Source organism: Homo sapiens, chromosome 6 (genome assembly GCF_000001405.40).
Source record: "Homo sapiens chromosome 6, GRCh38.p14 Primary Assembly".
Classification (NCBI taxonomy): Eukaryota; Metazoa; Chordata; class Mammalia; order Primates; family Hominidae; genus Homo; species Homo sapiens.
Genome location: NC_000006.12, coordinates 54614047 through 54631952, shown reverse-complemented (window position 1 = coordinate 54631952; position 17906 = coordinate 54614047). Strand labels below are relative to the sequence as shown.

Sequence of the window (17906 nt, the reverse complement as noted above, 5' to 3'; positions counted from 1 at the left end):
ATCTGGCTTTATTTTCCCACAAATGTTTGCAAATAAAGTCAGTTTACAATCCTTTTATAAACAGAGAAATTTAAAATATTCCACTTGGGATGGATAAACTAGATTACTACAAAACATTTTCATATTTCTACAATGTAGTAATATGCCAAGGACTACACAAAACATAGAAATTATCCTACTATTTTGCTTTGGATAGCCCTGAACATCTAAGAAATGGTAATGCCCTGTTCTCAAGGTAGACTTTATTGTCTACCTTCCTCATGTCATATCAGGCCTTTCTGATGCATAACCAAGATACTTTCTTAATGTCAAGAAGTATTGCCCAAGAAGTAAATGGTACATATTTATATACATAATATATATTCTAAAACTCAGTATATGTATTAGGCTGTTCTTGCATTGCTGTAAAGAAATACCCGAGACTAGGTAATTTATAAGAAAAGAGGTTTAATTGGCTCATGGTTCTGCAGGCTGTACAGGAAGCATAATGGCATCTGCTTCTGCGGAGGCCTGAGGAAGCTTCCAGTCATGGTGGAAAGTGAAGGGAGCACAGGTGTCTCACAAGGCAGAGTGGGAGCAAAGGGGGCGCACTGTACACTTTTAAATTACCAGATCTCACAAGAATTCACTCACTATCATGAGAAGAGCACAAAGGAGATGGTGCTAAACCATTCATGAGAAATCCACCCTCATAATTCAATCATTTCCCACTAGGCACCACCTTCAACAATGGGATTAGAATTCAACATGAGATTTGGATGGTGAGAAATATGCAAGCTATATCGATCTTATGTTCTTCAGTGACTATTCCCCCTGCTCTTAATATACCAATCTATAAAGTTAACAAGAACTTTTTAATAATATATGTGATTCATACACATACGTACAATTTTACATCTTACTCTATTTCATTTCTCTATTTCATAATGATTTATTTTCTTTGAGCCCTGAGACTAATTTATATTAATTAGGGTTCTCCAGAGAAATTGAACCAATGGAAAATATATATATATACACACATAATTCAGTTTATGTGTGTGTGTGTGTGTGTGTGTTAGTTATATAAATAGATTCATATCCTATTGGTGTAACTCTAGGTCCAAGGGAGAAGGTCTGAGAACAAGAGCAGGAGGGATGCACTACTGGAGTCCGAAGGCCTGAGAATAAGGAGCTCCAATGTCAAAGGGTAGAAGAAGATGAATGTCCCAGCTCAAAAAAGTAGAGCAAATTTGCCCTTCCTACTCCTTTTTGTTCTATTTGGAACCTCAAGAGATTGAATGATGCCAGTAAAGTGAGAGTGATCTTTTTGACAGTCTACTGATTCAAATGCTAGGCTCTTCCAGAAACACCCTCACAGACACACCCCAGAAATCCAGAAATGTTCTACCAGCTATCTGAGCATCCCTTAGCTCAGTCAATGACACATTTGAAAAACATTTTATTCCAAAATCGAAAACATAAAAAAAAATATATAGGTAAAAAATGCATTCTATACGTGGACACAGTGGCTCACACTTGTAATCCCAGCACTTTGGGAGGCTAAGGTGGGAGGATTGCTTGATCCCCAGAGTTCGAGGTTATAGTGAGCTGTTATCAGCCTAGGTGACAGAGTGAGACCTCATCTCATTAAAAAGAAATACAAGCATTGCTTAAAGCTGTAGTACACAGTATGTAAAATAATTAACTTTTTTCTAAATTTACGTTTGAAGAATTTACATATAATTATTTCATTTATGATTTTTTTTTGAGACAGGGTCTCCCTCTGTTGCCCAGACTGGAGGGCAGTTGCACGATCTCAGCTCACTTCAACCTCTGCCTCCTGGGCTCAATTGATTCTCCTGCTTCAGCCTCCCAAGTAGCTGGGATTACAGGAGTGTGCCACCATGTCCGGCTTTTTTTGTATTTTTAGTAGGAACAGGCTTTCGCCATGTTGGCCAGGCTAGTCTCGAACTCCTGATCTCAAGTGATCCACCTGTCTCCGCCTTTCAAAGTCTTGGGATTACAGGCATGAGCCACCATGCCCAGACCATTTGTTCTTTTTGAGATTTGATAGTCATAGGGGAAGAAATTAACTTGGATCACTAGCTTATTAATCTATACCAAAATAATTACTTTGTGATGTATTGTTCAATGAGCTTTGATTAATGCGGAGTCATGTAAGCCCATATTCACCCAACATCACAATCAACAAATCTTATTATCCTACCAATTCCTTCAGGTTGCCCTTTGTAGCCACTTTTCCCATTGCTAACTCCTGATAACCAGTGATCTCTTCTTTATTGCTATAGTTTTGGCTGTTGCAGAAAGTGATGTAGATAGAATCACACAGTATGTAACCTTATGAGTCCAGACTCTTTGATTGAAAGTAATGTACTTGAGATTCATTCCTATTGTGAGTTATAAATAATGTATTCTTTTGTGTGGCTGAATAGTATTCTATTGTATGAATGAATGTACCATCATCTGTTTATCAATCTGGCAGCAAAAGAACCTTTGGGCTGTTTGAATTTTGTTATGATTATGCTACAAAGCTACTATAAACATTTACATATAGTTTTCCTAGTGTGAATATTTTTTTTTTTTTGCTCTTGGACCAATATCTGGGAGTAGGATTGCTGAGTCATATAGTAAGGATGTATTTAATTTATAAGACTGTAAAACTGTTTTCAAAAGCGACTGTAGTATCTTGCATTCCCACCAGCAATGTATGAGAGTACCAGTAGCTGTGCATCATCACTAGAATTTGGTATTGTTGGATGTTTTTATTTCCATTGTAAGAGGTATGTAGTGATATCTCATTGTGTTTTTGAGCTGCATTTCCTTAATGACAAATGCTGTTAAACTCCTTTTCATGGGCTTATTAGCCATTCTTGAATTTTCTTTGGTAAAATGTCTGCTCAAACTGTTCCCAGTTTTCAATTGGGTTTTAAGTTTTCTTATTATTAATTTTGGGAGTCACTTACATATTCTCAACACATGTCCTTAACTAGCTACTTAATTCAGAAATATTTTCTTCCGATGTGGCTTAAAAATTAATGTATTTTAAAAGTTCTTAAAACTCTTCAAAGAGCAGAGCTTTTTAATTGTGATGAAGTCCAGTTTATTCATTTTATTTATGAATCATTCCATTGATTTTGAATGAGTTTGCTCATTAGAGCTCAAATGTTTGTCTTGCCCAAGGTCACAAAGATTATATCTTGAGATGTATTTTTAAAATTTGTATAGTTGAACAATGTGGGGTTTATGGACACCAACCCCCATACATCAAAAATCTGTGTATAACATTTGATTCCCCCAAACCTTAACTGTCAATAGCCTTCAGTTGACCAGAAGCCTTAATGATAACATAAACAGTTGATTAGCACATATTTTGTATGCTATATTATATATTTTGTATTCTTATAATAAAGTGAGCTAGAGAAAAGATAATGCCATTAAGAATATCATAAGAAAGAGAAAATATACTATTCATTAAGTGGAAGTGGATCATCATAAAGGTCTTTGTCCTCAACATCTTCATGTTGAGTAGGTTGAGGAGGAGGTTGAGGAGGAGGATAAGGAAGAGGAGGAGTTGGTCTTGCTGTATCATGGGTGGCAGAGGCCAAAGAACTGGGGGAGGTAGAAGGGGAGGCAAGAGAGGCAGGCATATTCAGTATAATTTTATGGAACTACACTATAATTTCTAACTGACTTTTTTGCTTTTTCAAAATTTCTCTAAAAATACTATGCAGTATTCAATATCATATAAGAAATAAAAAGCAGTGCTGAGTAATTCAAACCCATCTTCCAGATTACCTGATATCAATTTGTTTTCTGGCACTGCTTCTTCTATGTCTTCTTCCTCATCCTCTGGCACTGGTTCTGAAGTGCTCATCTTCACCAAATTATCTTCTGTTAATTCCTCTGGTATGGTTATCTATTAGCTCCAAGATTCATATATGAGACAACACTTTGTCTCCTCTCCACCCACCATCATTTTTCCCACATCCACAATCTCTTACATGATTTCTTTGATTGGCTCTGTTGTATGTCCTGTTAAGTAATGTACAACATCTGGATACAGTTTTCTCCAGGAGGAATTTATTGTTTTGGGCTTAACGGGCTTTTACAGCTTTTTCCATAAAGATGATGCCATCTTGACTGGTGTAATTCTTCACAATTTTTATGATATTCTGTCAGGATTCTGTTCCATAGCATTGACAATCATTTCCATAAAATACTGTGTGTAATGAGCCTTAAAGGTCCTTATGACCTCCTGATCTAGAGGCTGAATTAGATAACGTTGTGTTTGGGGGCAAGCAGAACAGTTGACGTCTTTGCTGTTGAACTCATGACACTCTGGGTGTCCGGGGGCATTGTTCATTATCAATTTATTGGTATTTTTGCCAAATAAGAACTTAAAAGGCAGTCACCTACTGGCAAGGCACTTCCTGACTTCAGGGACAAAGCATCGATGTATCCCATCCAGAAGAAGTGTTCCTGTTGCCTAGTGTTTATTTTCTCCCTTCAAGGCTTGGGGGTTAGCAGCTTTGTAGATAAGGACAATCCTGATCATGAACCTGACTACATTTCCACAAAACAGTGGAGTTAGCCTGTCCTTTCCTGCCTGAAGTCCTGGTGATCACTCCTCTTCCTTACTAATAAATGATGTCCTTTGTGGCATTTTTTCCCCATAGAATAGAGCATTATCTTTCATCTGCATTGAAAACCTGCTCAGGCAGATATCCTTTCTCCTCAATGATTTTTCTTAATGGCATCTGGAAACTCCCTGGTTTCCAGGGAGCCTCTTGGTCATTAGTTGCTTCTTCTCCTTTTATTTTGACATTTTAAAAGCCAAACCTCTTTCTAAAATTATCAAACCACCCTTCACTGGCATTCAATTCTACAGCTTTAGATCCTTCACCTTCCTTTTGCTTTAAGTAGTCATATAATGACTTTACTTGCTCTCAAATCATATTAGAGTTTATAGGTATGCCTTATAACAATCCTGCACCCACATAAAAGCTATATTTTCAATACGAGATAAAATATATTTCACAAAAAGTGCTATGTTTTCATACCTGCTGGTGTAGCTGCAGGGATGGTTTCACAAACTTCCTTTTTTTAAAATTAAAATTTTTTAAACAATTGTTTTTACACTGGATTCACTTACCTTGAAATGGTGGACAACTGCAGCTGTTGACCTCAATCTGTGGTACATATCAAGCAATTCAGCTTTTTCTTGTAATATTACAACTTTTCCTCTGCTTCTTGGGAGCACTTTTAGCATCACTAGTGACACTCTGTATAGGTCTCATGGTGTTATTCAAGGTTTACAGTATTGCAGTAAACATGAAAAATACACAAGAACCACAAGAGATCACTTTTTAGTGTGATACACAATTTATTGGAGAGACAAACTGCTCATGTGGAGATGACTAGCATCACACAGCATTTTAAGTGGAAACTCGCAACACTAGAGCTCACTGCGATAGCAATAGGAGGTAGCTATAAAATTATTACAGTAGTATGGTATGTGCTGTAATTTTATCCAGTTATAATTGTATACTGCATTTTTATGTTTACATTTCTCTCAACAGCAAATAGTGCCATATATGGTCTGTGTTTGTGTAAATTTTGATACATTTTAACTTTTTATCATGGAGTTGTGTATATTTTATAGTAAATAAAATAGGCTAGTACCTACATATATTTTACACATTGATAACATACCTAACTTTTACACCACTTTTTTTTATGTTTCTGGGCTACATGGTTTGTCTGTGAGTTATCTTAAATTATTGCAAATCTTGAAAATAAATTTCAATATATTTATTAAAAAATATCCATATATTAGTGGACCAGCACAGTTCAAACCAGTATTATTCAAGGGCTAACTGTACTTTATATTTAGATGTCTGCCATGCTGTTTATTTTTGCTTGATGCAAGGTATTTATTCCCATTTTTACTCTGTATGCTGGCTGCACAGTTCTAGGACCCCACCTGCCCTCACATCATAGCCAGAAGATAAAAGAGGAAACAAGAATTCAGGAAATTCCCCATGATACCAGTTGGTTTTCAAGATTTTACTCCCTTCCCATTGGGCTTACTTCAGTCTTTAAGTAGCTGTTTTCTGTATCCTCTCTAGAGTTTTTGGTGACCATTGGTGAGAGAGAAAGGCTATAGAGAGCTTCCTTTATCTTGGGTGTCAACAGAAGTCAGATTTTTACCACTTTATATTAGTTTTTACCCATCCCAGAATTTCATATAAATGGGACTATACAGGAGGTACTCCTTTGTGTCTTTTTTTCTCTCATGTTTTTGAGATTCACCCATGTTCTTGCATATAACAGCGTTTTGTTCCTTTATACTGCTGAGTAATTCCATTGTGTGAATGTGTCACAGTTTGCATATCCATTCTCTCTCTTTTTTAAAAAAATTAATGTTTATTTCCATATTGCTTAAGAGCCGGTGCAAGTACAGCTTAAGACCATTCAGTGGTTGCTCCTACCTGTTCAGTGGCCTGAGCGGTGGGAGCCACACATCAGTCTTCTGTGGCAGGCTGAGCACTCCAGGCTTCAGAAGGAAACTGCTGAATAGGCACAGAGGGCACCTGCATGCCTTCATACCAGTCTGCAACTTCAGGCTGAGTAGCGGTGAACTCAGGAGATGGAGAAGTCCATTCACCCTGAAATTCCTCCTTGGTCAGAGCCTTTTCAGCAGCAGCTTACTCTTCTTTTTCAGTCTCTTCAGGATCTCTGTAGAAGAAGAGATCAGGCATCCCCTCCCACAGGTGTTCACAGGAAATGGTGCCACACATGTGCAGAAGTTTCCAGGCCAGCATCCACCACATCAAACCCACTGAGTGAGCTCCCTTCTTGCATGGGATGGCAATGTCCACATAGCACAGCGGAGAATCTGTATTACGTGGAGCAATGGTATGTAAGTTAACATAAGATGCCTCTGTGAGAGGCAGTGGTCAGCCCTGGAATCAGTAAAGAAAAGATGCTGTGGCTCCTGGAAGGTTGCCTGGATCTGGTTAGTGAAGATTCCAGGAGTGAAGCGGCCAGCAATTGGAGTGGCTCCAGTGGCAGCAGCAAACTTCAGTATGGCCCTCTGGCCAGTATTCCTGGAGGATATGACGCGGACATCAGCAGGGTTTTCAATGGCAACAATGGCACAAGCTGCCAACAGAAGCTTCTCCCAGGTCCTCTTCAGATTTATGATATAGACGCCGTCACATTTCTTTTTATAAATGTATTGTTTCATTTGGAAGTCAAGGTTGGTGCCACCTAAGTGGATTCCTGCTGCAAGGAACTTAAGGACATCCTCCTCCTCCATTTGCAGGACATCAAGGGCTCTGTACACTGTAAAAGTTTCCCTTTAAGTTACAACAGGAATCTAGAACATCGCCATATGGACCCCTCTCTGGGTAGCACAAAAAAGCCCATTCTCTAGTTGATAGATATTTGGGTTGTTTCCAGGATTTGGCTATTATGAGTAAAACTGCTATGAACATCCATGCATAAGTCTTTTTGTGAACATAGGCTTTCATTTATCTTGGGTAAATGACCAGGAGTGGAATTTTAGATCACTTAGAAAGTATGTGTTTCACTTTATAAGGCACTGTCAGACTGTGTTACTAAGTTGATGTACCATTTTATAAATCCACCAGAAATATATGAGCAGACCAGTTTTTTAAAATCTTTGCCAATCCTTGATATTGTCAATAATATAAGTTTAAAAAGGGGAACAATAAAAGTACTAGACAGAAATGTAGAACATATTTTGTAAAAACAGAATAAGAGAAATTGTTTCTAAGTGATAGTTGAAAGCTTGATGTCATAAAGAAAGCTTGACTCCATAAAACATAAAATAACTACATGACAATAATAATGTCAAATGAGAAGAGAAAAAAATGTCTAAAATATTTGTCGGACATATTAAATATATTAATGTCCTTATTTTTTAAAGAGCTCTTATAAATTAATATGTAAAATACATCGATCCAGCAAAGGTGAAGAGCAGGCAGTTCATAACAGAAAGATATTTTAAAGGTGTATAAAGTTGTCCAATTTCACTCAAAATTATTGAAATATGAATTAAAACAAAATATGTCATACTTCTATCAAATAAAAAGATGATTTTTGGCTATGTACTGTGTTGGCAAGAGTTTTGGGAGAAAGAGCTTCTCATACACTGTTATTGGCTATATTAATTTGTATTTTCCCATTGGACCACAGTTTACTGTATACACAGTGCTTTGGGAAGTACTCTCTTAAATGGGTTTTTCTTCTGCTCTCACACCACCACAATAATAATCAACACAGAAGAAGACTTCTCTGACCAAAAGTGAGGGGTTTTTAACCATACAACAAGCAGTGGACAACAGCTGGGTGTCCTCCTATTCAGTACCAATACTATATACCCAGAGACAGTGTCAGATCCCACAGGTTAATACTCAACACCATAAGATCATCCTCTCCTTCCCTGAAGTCGCAATTCCAGGCCTCTGGAACTTCTGACCAATTGGCTTCAAGTTGGCGCTCCCACGATCCCATCTTTGAGATTGATTTATTTGTTAGAGCAGCTCACAGAACTCAGGGAATCATATTTACTGGCTTACTATCAAGCATATTTTCCAAGATACAAATAAACAGCCAGATGAAGAGATACATGGGGTGAGGTCTGGGAGGATTTGTAAGTGCAGCAGCTTCTGTCCCTGTAGAGTTGGGGTGCACCAACTTCCTGGCATGTGAAAGAGTTTTTCACCTTCCTGTCATGCTCAATGTGTTCAGCTCTCCAGAAGCTCCTGGAACTCCATCCTTTGGGCCTTTTATGGAGAATTCATTGGTTGTCAATGATTAAAGCATGGACAACTATGTCAAAATGTGATTGGACAAAAAGGATGTGGCCTAAACTCAGCAAGCCTTGTCCATTCAGATTCTTCTTGATCTCTCTGTACAGCATTCCTTCCTCTGGAGTAGGGGGCAGGACCCTCTCTAGAATGAGGGTTTTATGACCTATAATTGGACTATAGTCCTATCTCGGGTGGGTAAAAGGAAGACAGAAGTTCAGAGAGAAAGCTTTTGTTTCCTCAGGCTTGCTTCTGAGCCCTAAATTTCTCCAACATTATAACCAAGATTGTGACAATGATTATGAAAGTTACGAACTAGGAACCACAGATGGAAATGAATCATAATATCACACAGGCATTAGGATTTAATGTTGAATGTTTATAAAGTGTATTTTACATATATTGCCTAAATTTATACTACCAACACCACAAGAATTAGTTATTTTATATTCTCATTTTAAAAATAAAAAACCTAGAGTTTAGAGAGATGCCTTATCCAGTCAGGTCATATAACTAGTAAGTGGCATAGCTTGGTATAGAGCCCTTAACTTTGAATTTCAAGTTCAGTTACATTTTCATTAATCAGAGTTGACTTACCTTGAAACACATGTGTTTTGTACATCAATGCATGTCACTATTTCATGCAATGAATGTAAAGATGCTACATTTTATTACCTAGATAATGTGCTGGTTTTGTCCTATTTCTAAGTTTGTAGAATTGCTGTAGAAATATTGAGAACATTCCTTTTTTTTCCTTATTAAAATCTTGAAGAGGTGCTTTTATTTTTATTTATTTTTGTCTGCTTTCAGGACATGTTTTAAAATCTATCATTTGGACAATTTGGGTTAATAATCTTTGTTTTAGTGTTTTAAAGAACAGCCTCAGTGAAAATGCTTTATTAACGTGATAAATGATAAGTTTAAATAAAATAAATGAAAAAAGAAAGTGTGGTTTTGAAATAATTTATCTGGCACAGCACCAGATTTTGAGAGAGTTAATTATTACAAGTTGCTGAACATTACTGCAATTTTCACATGGAAATATTTGCCTCTCCTATTTCCTTGTGTTATTGAAGACATATTATGAAAGCCATAATATCAGCAGCTTGCAATTTGGAACTCATTTGATTTAACTGATAAGAATCTTTTTCATTTCACAAAACATAACTTCACTCAGAAATATAAAACTGTTCTGCTGTATTAAACAGTGAATAATATCAGGATAACAATGTTAATTGGCTTTTGGACTGGGAGTATTTGAATGAACTCTCTTCTCCATCATTTTTCCATTAGATTTTGCTTGAATTACTCAAAAAACCAAGGTATTTATCCTGATTTGTAACACAATACAACATTTCTCTGATAAGTGTTTTCACATTTTTAGAAATTCTCTGCACTGTAAACAGACAGAGAAAAACAACAACTACTATAAGAAAACAAAACAAAACACTAAAGCTACTCTAGAATGCATGTTGAGCTGGATGGCCATTAAACATTTGTTCAATATTCAATGATAATCTTCATGTCAAATAGATCAGATAGGGCATTAGGTTATATTAAGATAAAAGAACACAGATGAGTTTGGGAGCCAATCCTGTTCAGACTTGAATACTGACTGCTTTTGCAGTCTCCCCTCTTGTGGCAGGATTGGGTACTGGTTAATGATGTGAATTCTGCCCTAAAGTCACCTTTCTTTGGCCACCTTCTAGCTGTGTGATTTAGTGAAGACTAACTTGCTTTCTGTACTTCAATTTTCTCATCTGTAGAATAAAAGTAACCACCTGCACACAGAGAGAGTTTTAAGAATTAAATGGGATAACCAAGAGAGTGCCTAGTCCAGTGTGTGGAACATAACAAATATTAAATAAGCATTCATTTTCTTTTTTCCCCACTCCTTTACTTCTCCTTTGCCTTCCCTCCAGCTATGAAAGTTTTCAGCTCGGAGGGGCTTGTTGTGGGCCATGCACTGTGCCTAGACTACCTCTCAGGAAGACACCTGTTGCCCCTGCTATGGTTGTGCATTGGTAGAGAGCCTTCAGCTGCCAGCCCCTCCAGCGATTGCGTTGGATACTGCCAACTGCTTTAATAAAAGTCAGACCCTTTCCCAGGGCAGTCCACTTCTAAATGACAGATCACTCCTTGCATGCAGAGGCTGGGCCATCTCTGCCCACATCCTTGTCACTCTGAAGGGTCATTCTAAATCCAGAGCTTCTCTGTGGGGTCTCTGAGGCACACTCTATGTGTGCAGGTGGTTACTTTTATTCTACAGATGAGAAAATTGAAGTCCAGAGAAGCAAGCTAGCCTTCACTAAATCACACAGCTAGAAGGTGGACAAAGAAAGGTGGCTTTAGTGCAGAATTCACATCATTAACCAGTACCCAATCCACCACAAGAGGGGAGACTGCAAAAGCAGTCAGTATTAAAACCTTGATAGGATTGGCTCCCAAACTCATCTGTGTTCTTTTATAATAAGTTTATCATAAGTTTTTTTTTAACCTAAGTTCATTAGGCCTGCATCACAACTCAATGTCTTGCTCTGTTCAATGCTGCTTTCCTCTCTCTGTTCTACAGAGACTGATCCAAAGGATACTTTGATAAACAACTTTTAGTTAAACTCCAACTCAGAGTTTGTTCTGCAGAGAACTCAAGCTGCAAACCAGCTCCTCTCTGCTTTTTAAAAGACTTTAAGGAACATTTGATTCAAAGCACAGCCAAGAGCACCCACTTTACTCCCTCATTTCACTTCCTCCACCTGTTTCACACCACTGCCAGTAATCTCTCAGCCTAGGTGAGAAAAGATCCAGCAACTAATGTAGAACACTCACTCCTGATAAAAAAAAAATCCTTAGTTTGAGTAATAATCATTTCTCTCAGGCTGAAAAGCTTCATTTCAAGCAGGCTGGACTGTTAATTCTATAGGTAAGACCCAAAAAGATTGTGAAACAGTGATATTAAAATCTAATTTACCTCAGTGTTATATTCTATACAGAACTAGGCTGAGATTTTTTAACAGCATAGTCTTATTTGGACAAAACAAAACATTCAATACCAGTGTTCTGCCATCAATAGTTTCTACTGCTATTACCAACGAAAGCAACAATGGCAATAATAATTCCTAAAATTTTGTATACCATATTACATTTAAAAAATCCAATATGTAATAAAGAAATAAGAAGGTTAACAGTATTACTTAGTTACTATATATAAAGAAAATGAGGCCCAAACTGCTTAACAGTTCATGAAAGTTCACAGAACTAATTGGTGGAATTGAGGCTGAATTCAGACTTCTGACATTAGACTTGATGGTTTTTCTCCTACATTGTGATTAAACCCCATATCACTTACAAAAATCAAGTCTGTTTGGGAACATGAATACAAATAAATAGTGTTAATTTTTTCATATTGGATTACTGGAAAAATGTATATTAATAGAAATACTTGTCCATAGAACACAGCTTTGCAGCATATTCATCCCAAAGAGCTGAACTTGCCTGCGCACAGCAACAAACAAATTACTTTACTAATACACATACACTGACAATAGTTATGAACTCCAGTTACTAACACAGGCAATATCACAAAGACGGATAATGTGGCTTTCCCAAGGATAAATATGAAATCGGTGGGGCATGTGCTAGGGCCATAGTTTGGGAAAAGTCTACTTGTGTGTTCTAAATAGACTTTCCCAGGGAGTAAATGGAAGCTTGGAATTAGAAACTGGGTTTCTTCGTTCCACCATGTGTTGACCTCTGGATACAGAACCAAAGGAAGCTACATAGTGATTTGAACAGCAAGTGCCCTATAGAGTGTTCTATATTTAGAAATCACACTGAATACATTGGCAGAATTATAATAGCATGATGTACTTTGTGGCATTACTTTGCTGAGAGGAGTCTAATGATTGTTTTGTTGACATATATCAGATATCTCAACTGACATATGTCAAATGTTAATCACAAAAACATGAAACAATTTCATTTTATTCACTTAATCATTTTGATTGTCATTTTCTCAACATTATCAATTAGCATGCATGTTGTTTGCTGCAATTCATTTGTAAGATCAATTCAAGAGATTCCAAAGTATTGAACAAATTTTGCTCAAAATCAGTGAAAAAAGCATCTTTTATTAAAATTCAAAACAATGAAAATTCATAAAGTTGTATTGGTAAAGGAAAATTTTGCTGTGGCATGTTCATCATTAGATGATAGCAGGTGTTATGAAGGACAGAGCTATTTCTTAATGTTAATGTCCCATATGGGTGCACAGGCAACAATTATGGTCTGCTGGGGACTGGGCTGCAGACTTCTCTGCTATGCATCACAAGTCACAATAACAGCTACAGTGAACTAGAGTAATAAATCTTTCCTGAAACAACAATTTGGTATTTACTTAAGTTTGTGATGACTGCATGCTCTATTTTGAAGCATAGAATAACTGAGAATTGCTTTATGAAATCTTATGTGACATCCACAATTCTAGAAATCCTCTCCAACCTATACAAACAAGAAGAAAATCTCACCAAATCTAATACTTTTATATATCTCTTTGCTATAAGAGGAAGGAAGAGAATGGTTTTTATCATTTTGGGTCTTCTTTCTGGCTAAATTGTCGTGTAGAAGAATATACAATGAAATATTTTCTCAATATTTTATACATTTTTGGCACTATTCCCATCGTAAAAAATTGTCCTGGCATATTTGGATGGGTTTTTGGATTTTCACACTTGGAGCAATGGAAGACTTGGTACCATTTTATTCATCTTTTTAGCTGAATACCTATCAGAACACTGGCCCATAGTAGGTTTTCAATACTAGTTATTAAGAGGATGGCAAAGATGAATGAAGCACACTCTCTTTGTTCTCATGGAACTCATTAGAACTTCATGGAGACACCTGTGTGAGATGACTTTTTACTACACTTAAAAAGAGCTTTATCATGTTTAAAGCACCATTTATTTCTGAATCACTCTGTATCCTTCTTTCCATGACAGATGAAGAAAATCATCAGGAAAAGAATCCCCTTGTCCCACCAGCTGTGACATCTCCATCACTGATTTTTCTGCTGTAATTACTAATAGCAGAAACAAATTACTGATGATTGTTAACTATGATAAAAATGTTGGATATAGCTCATACAGAATCACAAAAGCAGAACAGAGTTCTGGCCTGTGCTCTTTTTCCATGCCAAATATGGTTCTGATTACTAAGTTACTTAGTAAAGGCATTCTAATTTAAATTCTTCAAACAATGATTCATCCTAGGGGATAAGAAAGATTACTCGCTTTGGGAAGTAGAATTCCTTGACCTTTGGTTCTTTCTTGTTTGCTGGCTCTATTTTTTTTCCCCTTCTTCTCACATGGAGGTGCTCCTGGGCCTTCTGTCTTTGGCCCTGTTCTCATTCTTTATGTTTTGCTTCAGCAATATTTATTCCTTCACTTTCTACTATTACCTGTAAATCAATGGAACCTATATTTGCACAAACCCACTATTTCTAGTCACGATCTTCCCAGCAGTGTCAGGCCCACCTTTCTGCCATCTAACTCCCAACTGAAATTCCAAGGCAAATGTATACACACCTGTGTAATCACTAACCCAATTCTCATCTCGAATACTTTCATCACCCTAAAATGTTCTCTCATAGCTCTTTCCAATTAATCCACTCTAATCACCATCCCCAAAGAACTGATTATCTGATTTTTACCACTATATATTAGTTTTATGCAAACCAGAACTTTTTATAAATGGAATTATACAGAATGTACTCTTTTGCATCTGACTTTTTTCTCAACATGATATTTTTGAGACTCACCCATGTTTTTGCATGTATCAGTGGTTTGTTCCTTTATATATTGCTGAGGAATTCCATACGAATATATAACAGTTTGCATATTCTTGTTGATAGACATTTAGGTTTTCCCCAGAATTTGACTATTATAAATAAAGCTGCTATGAACGTCCAGGCATGAGTCTTTTTGTGAACATTTCTTTTAGATAAATGGCCATGAGTGGAATTGCAAGATCATATAGTACCTATATGTTTGACTTTCTAAAGCACTGCCAAACTGTGTGGCAAAGTTGGTGTATCATTTTATAAATCCACCAGCAATAGAAAAGAATACCAGTTCCTTCAAATTCCTGCCAATATCTGATATCGTTAGTTCTTTTACTCGTTCTGGTAGATGAATAGCAGTATCTAATTCCGCTTTTAACTTGCATTTTAAAAACTACTGTGTACTGAGCTCATTTTCTTGTTTTCTTAGTCATTTTAAAATTATACTTTACAAAAGGCCCATCAAATCTTCTGTCCATTTTCAAAGTTAATATGTTTTTCTTACTGGATTGTAAGAATTATTTATATATTTTAAATGCAAGTCTTTTGCTGGATATATATATATTTGGCAATATTTTCACCCAGTTTGTGGCTTGCCTTTCACTTTCTTAAAAGTGTCTTTCAAAGTGTCTTCAAACTTCAGATTCTGGGTTGAAAATTATTTGATTTAAGAATGTTGAATATTGGTCCCCAATCTCTTCCAGCTTGTAGAGCTTCTGGTGAGAGGTCTGCTGTTAGCCTGATGGGCTTCCCTTTGTAGGTGACCTGGCTTTTCTCTCTGGCTGCCCTTAACAGGTTTTCCTTCATTTCTACCTTGGAGAATCTGACGATTATGTGTCTTGGGGTTGATCTCCTCGTGGAGTATCTTAATGGTGTTCTCTGTATTTCCTGAATTTGCATGTTGGCCTGCCTTGCTAGGTTGGGAAAGTTCTCCTGGATAATATCCTGAACTGTGTTTTCCAGCTTGTTCATTCTCCCTGTCTCCTTCTGGCACTCCAATCAATCATAGGTTCAGTCTTTTTATTAAGTCCCATATTTCTTGGAGGCTTTGTTCATTCCTTTTCATTCTTTTTTTCTCTGTTCTTGTCTGCATGTCTTATTTCAGTAAGGTGGTTTTCAAACTCTGATATCCTTTCTTCCACTTTGTCGATTTGGCTTCACAAGGTTCTCATGCTGTGTTTTTCAGCTCCGTCAGATCGTTTATATTCCTCTCTAAACTGGTTATTCTAGTTAGCAATTCATCTAACCTTTTATCAATGTTCTTAGCTTCTTTGCATTGAGTTAGTACATGCTCCTTTAGCTCATCATAGTTTTTTATTACCCATCTCCTGAAGCCTGCTTCTGTCAACTCGTCTAATTCTCCGTTCCATTCTGTGCCCTCAATGATGAGACATGGTGATCATATGGAGGAGAACAGGCACTCTGGCCTTTTGGGTTTTCAGCATTTTTTCATTGATTCTTTCTTGTCTTCATGAGTTTGTCTAGTTTCGGTCTTTGAAGCTGCTGACCCTTGGATGGGGTTTTTGTGGGGGCTTTTGTTGTTGTTGATGTTTTTGCTGTTGCTGATGCTTTCTGCTTGTCTGTTTTTCTTTCATTAGGTCCCTCTTCTGTAGGCCTGCTGCAGTTTGCTGGGGGTTCACTTCAGGTCTTATTCATCTGATTTGCTCCCGTGCCTGGAGATGTCACTAAAGGAGGCTAGAGAACAGCAAAGATGGGTACCTGCTACTTCTTCTGAGACCTCTGACCTCAAGGGGCACCAACCTAATGCCAGTAGGATTGCTCCTGTAGAGAGTGTCTGACTATCCCTGTTGGGGGTCTCACTCAGTTGGGTGGCATGAAGAGCAGGACCCATTTAACGAACCACTTTGTCCCTTGGTGAAGAGAGTGTGTTTTGCTTGGGGCAAAACCACTCCTCTGGGCTGCCTGGATTTCTCAGAAATACCAGGAGGAGAGGCTAAGTCTGCTGGTCTGCAGAGACTGTGGCCACCCCTCCCCAATGGGCTCAGGCCCAAGGAGATCTGAATTCTCTCTCTGAGCCTCTGGTTGGAGTTATTGGAGATCCTTCAGGGAAGCCCCACCCACTGAGGAAGGATGGGTCAGGGTTAGACCTGAAGAGGCACTCTGGCTGCAGACTGCCACAGCCAGTGCGTTGAGCTGTGGGGAAAAGTCTTGGGACCAAGCAGTCCAGCCTCCCTGGCTCCAGCATTGGGAAAGTGCAGCCTAGAGTTACAGAAATGGGTGCCAACCTTCCCCTGCCCAGGAAGCTTAGTGTGTCAGGCAGTTGCTAGTCCCAGTGCTGGCTGCTGTCCCTCCCACAAGGAGCTCAAAAGGCTTAGACAGCAGACAGGGGCAGCAGGTGCTGGTCACCCCTCCCCCTGGGGAGTTTGGTAGGCTTAAGCAGATTCCAGCTGAGAGTCAGTAAGAATGTGGACATTCTGGGATTGGGATTCCAGGCCCTGTTGGTGTGGGTTTGTGAGTGGGATCTTCTGATCCATCGGTTGCACAGTTCTGTGGAAAAAGCACGGTTTCCCTGGCTGGGTAGTGTGCTCAGTCACTGCCTCCCTTGGCTGTCGGGAGGGGTTCCCCTTCCCTGTGTCGCTCTCAGGTGGGTTGCCACACCACATTGTTCTTCCTTCTCTCTGTGGGTCACACCAGCCTTCTAGTCAATTTTGATGAGAGAATCTGGATACCCTGGCTGCCGGTGAAGGCTTCACATGCTTATTATGGTTTTTTTCGGTGGAAGCCTCGAAACGGTGCTGCTTCTAGTCAGCTGTCTTGGCCCTGGCCCCCCCAACCCATGGCATGCATCTTTTTATTTGTATTTTAATCATGGGTTTATTTAGTTTTTTTTTTAGGTGTTAAACTTTATCAAAAGTTTTTTGAGGGCTATTGAAATAATTTTCTTCCCTTATAAAGACAGTGCAAATGCATTTTATCAGTACAATTTCCAATTTTGAACTACAGTATACATTCTTGGAATGAAACCCATTAGGTCATAATGAGCTGTTCTTTCATGTAGTTCATTTGATAATAGCATGCATCATATTTCATTTTAATCAACCATGATGTTTGTTTTTAGTCAGAATTATAAATTCACATATTTCAGAGCAAATTAGGTAACAAATTTGTGAAAAGGCTGAGTATTATGTAAACAAGAGCAGTCAAGGCTGTAAAGAACTGAAGAGTATTTTTCTTGCCTAAAGACATTATTTCTTTTTATTTGTTTATCTGCTTGT

General features: G+C 37.9%; 1 long non-coding RNA gene and 1 pseudogene across 1 annotated transcript in view; one reads left to right on the top strand and one right to left on the bottom strand.

The window, feature by feature from the left end:
- The window catches only part of LOC107986606 (uncharacterized), a 179493-nt gene extending 169879 nt beyond the window's left edge, over positions 1–9614 (top strand). The window contains exon 3 of the long non-coding RNA XR_001744176.3: positions 6725–9614. This is a non-coding gene — a long non-coding RNA (uncharacterized LOC107986606). The remainder of the gene's footprint in view (positions 1–6724) is intronic.
- RPSAP44 (ribosomal protein SA pseudogene 44) lies at positions 6430–7426 on the bottom strand (annotated as a pseudogene).
- Positions 9615–17906: the final 8292 nt, after the last annotated feature.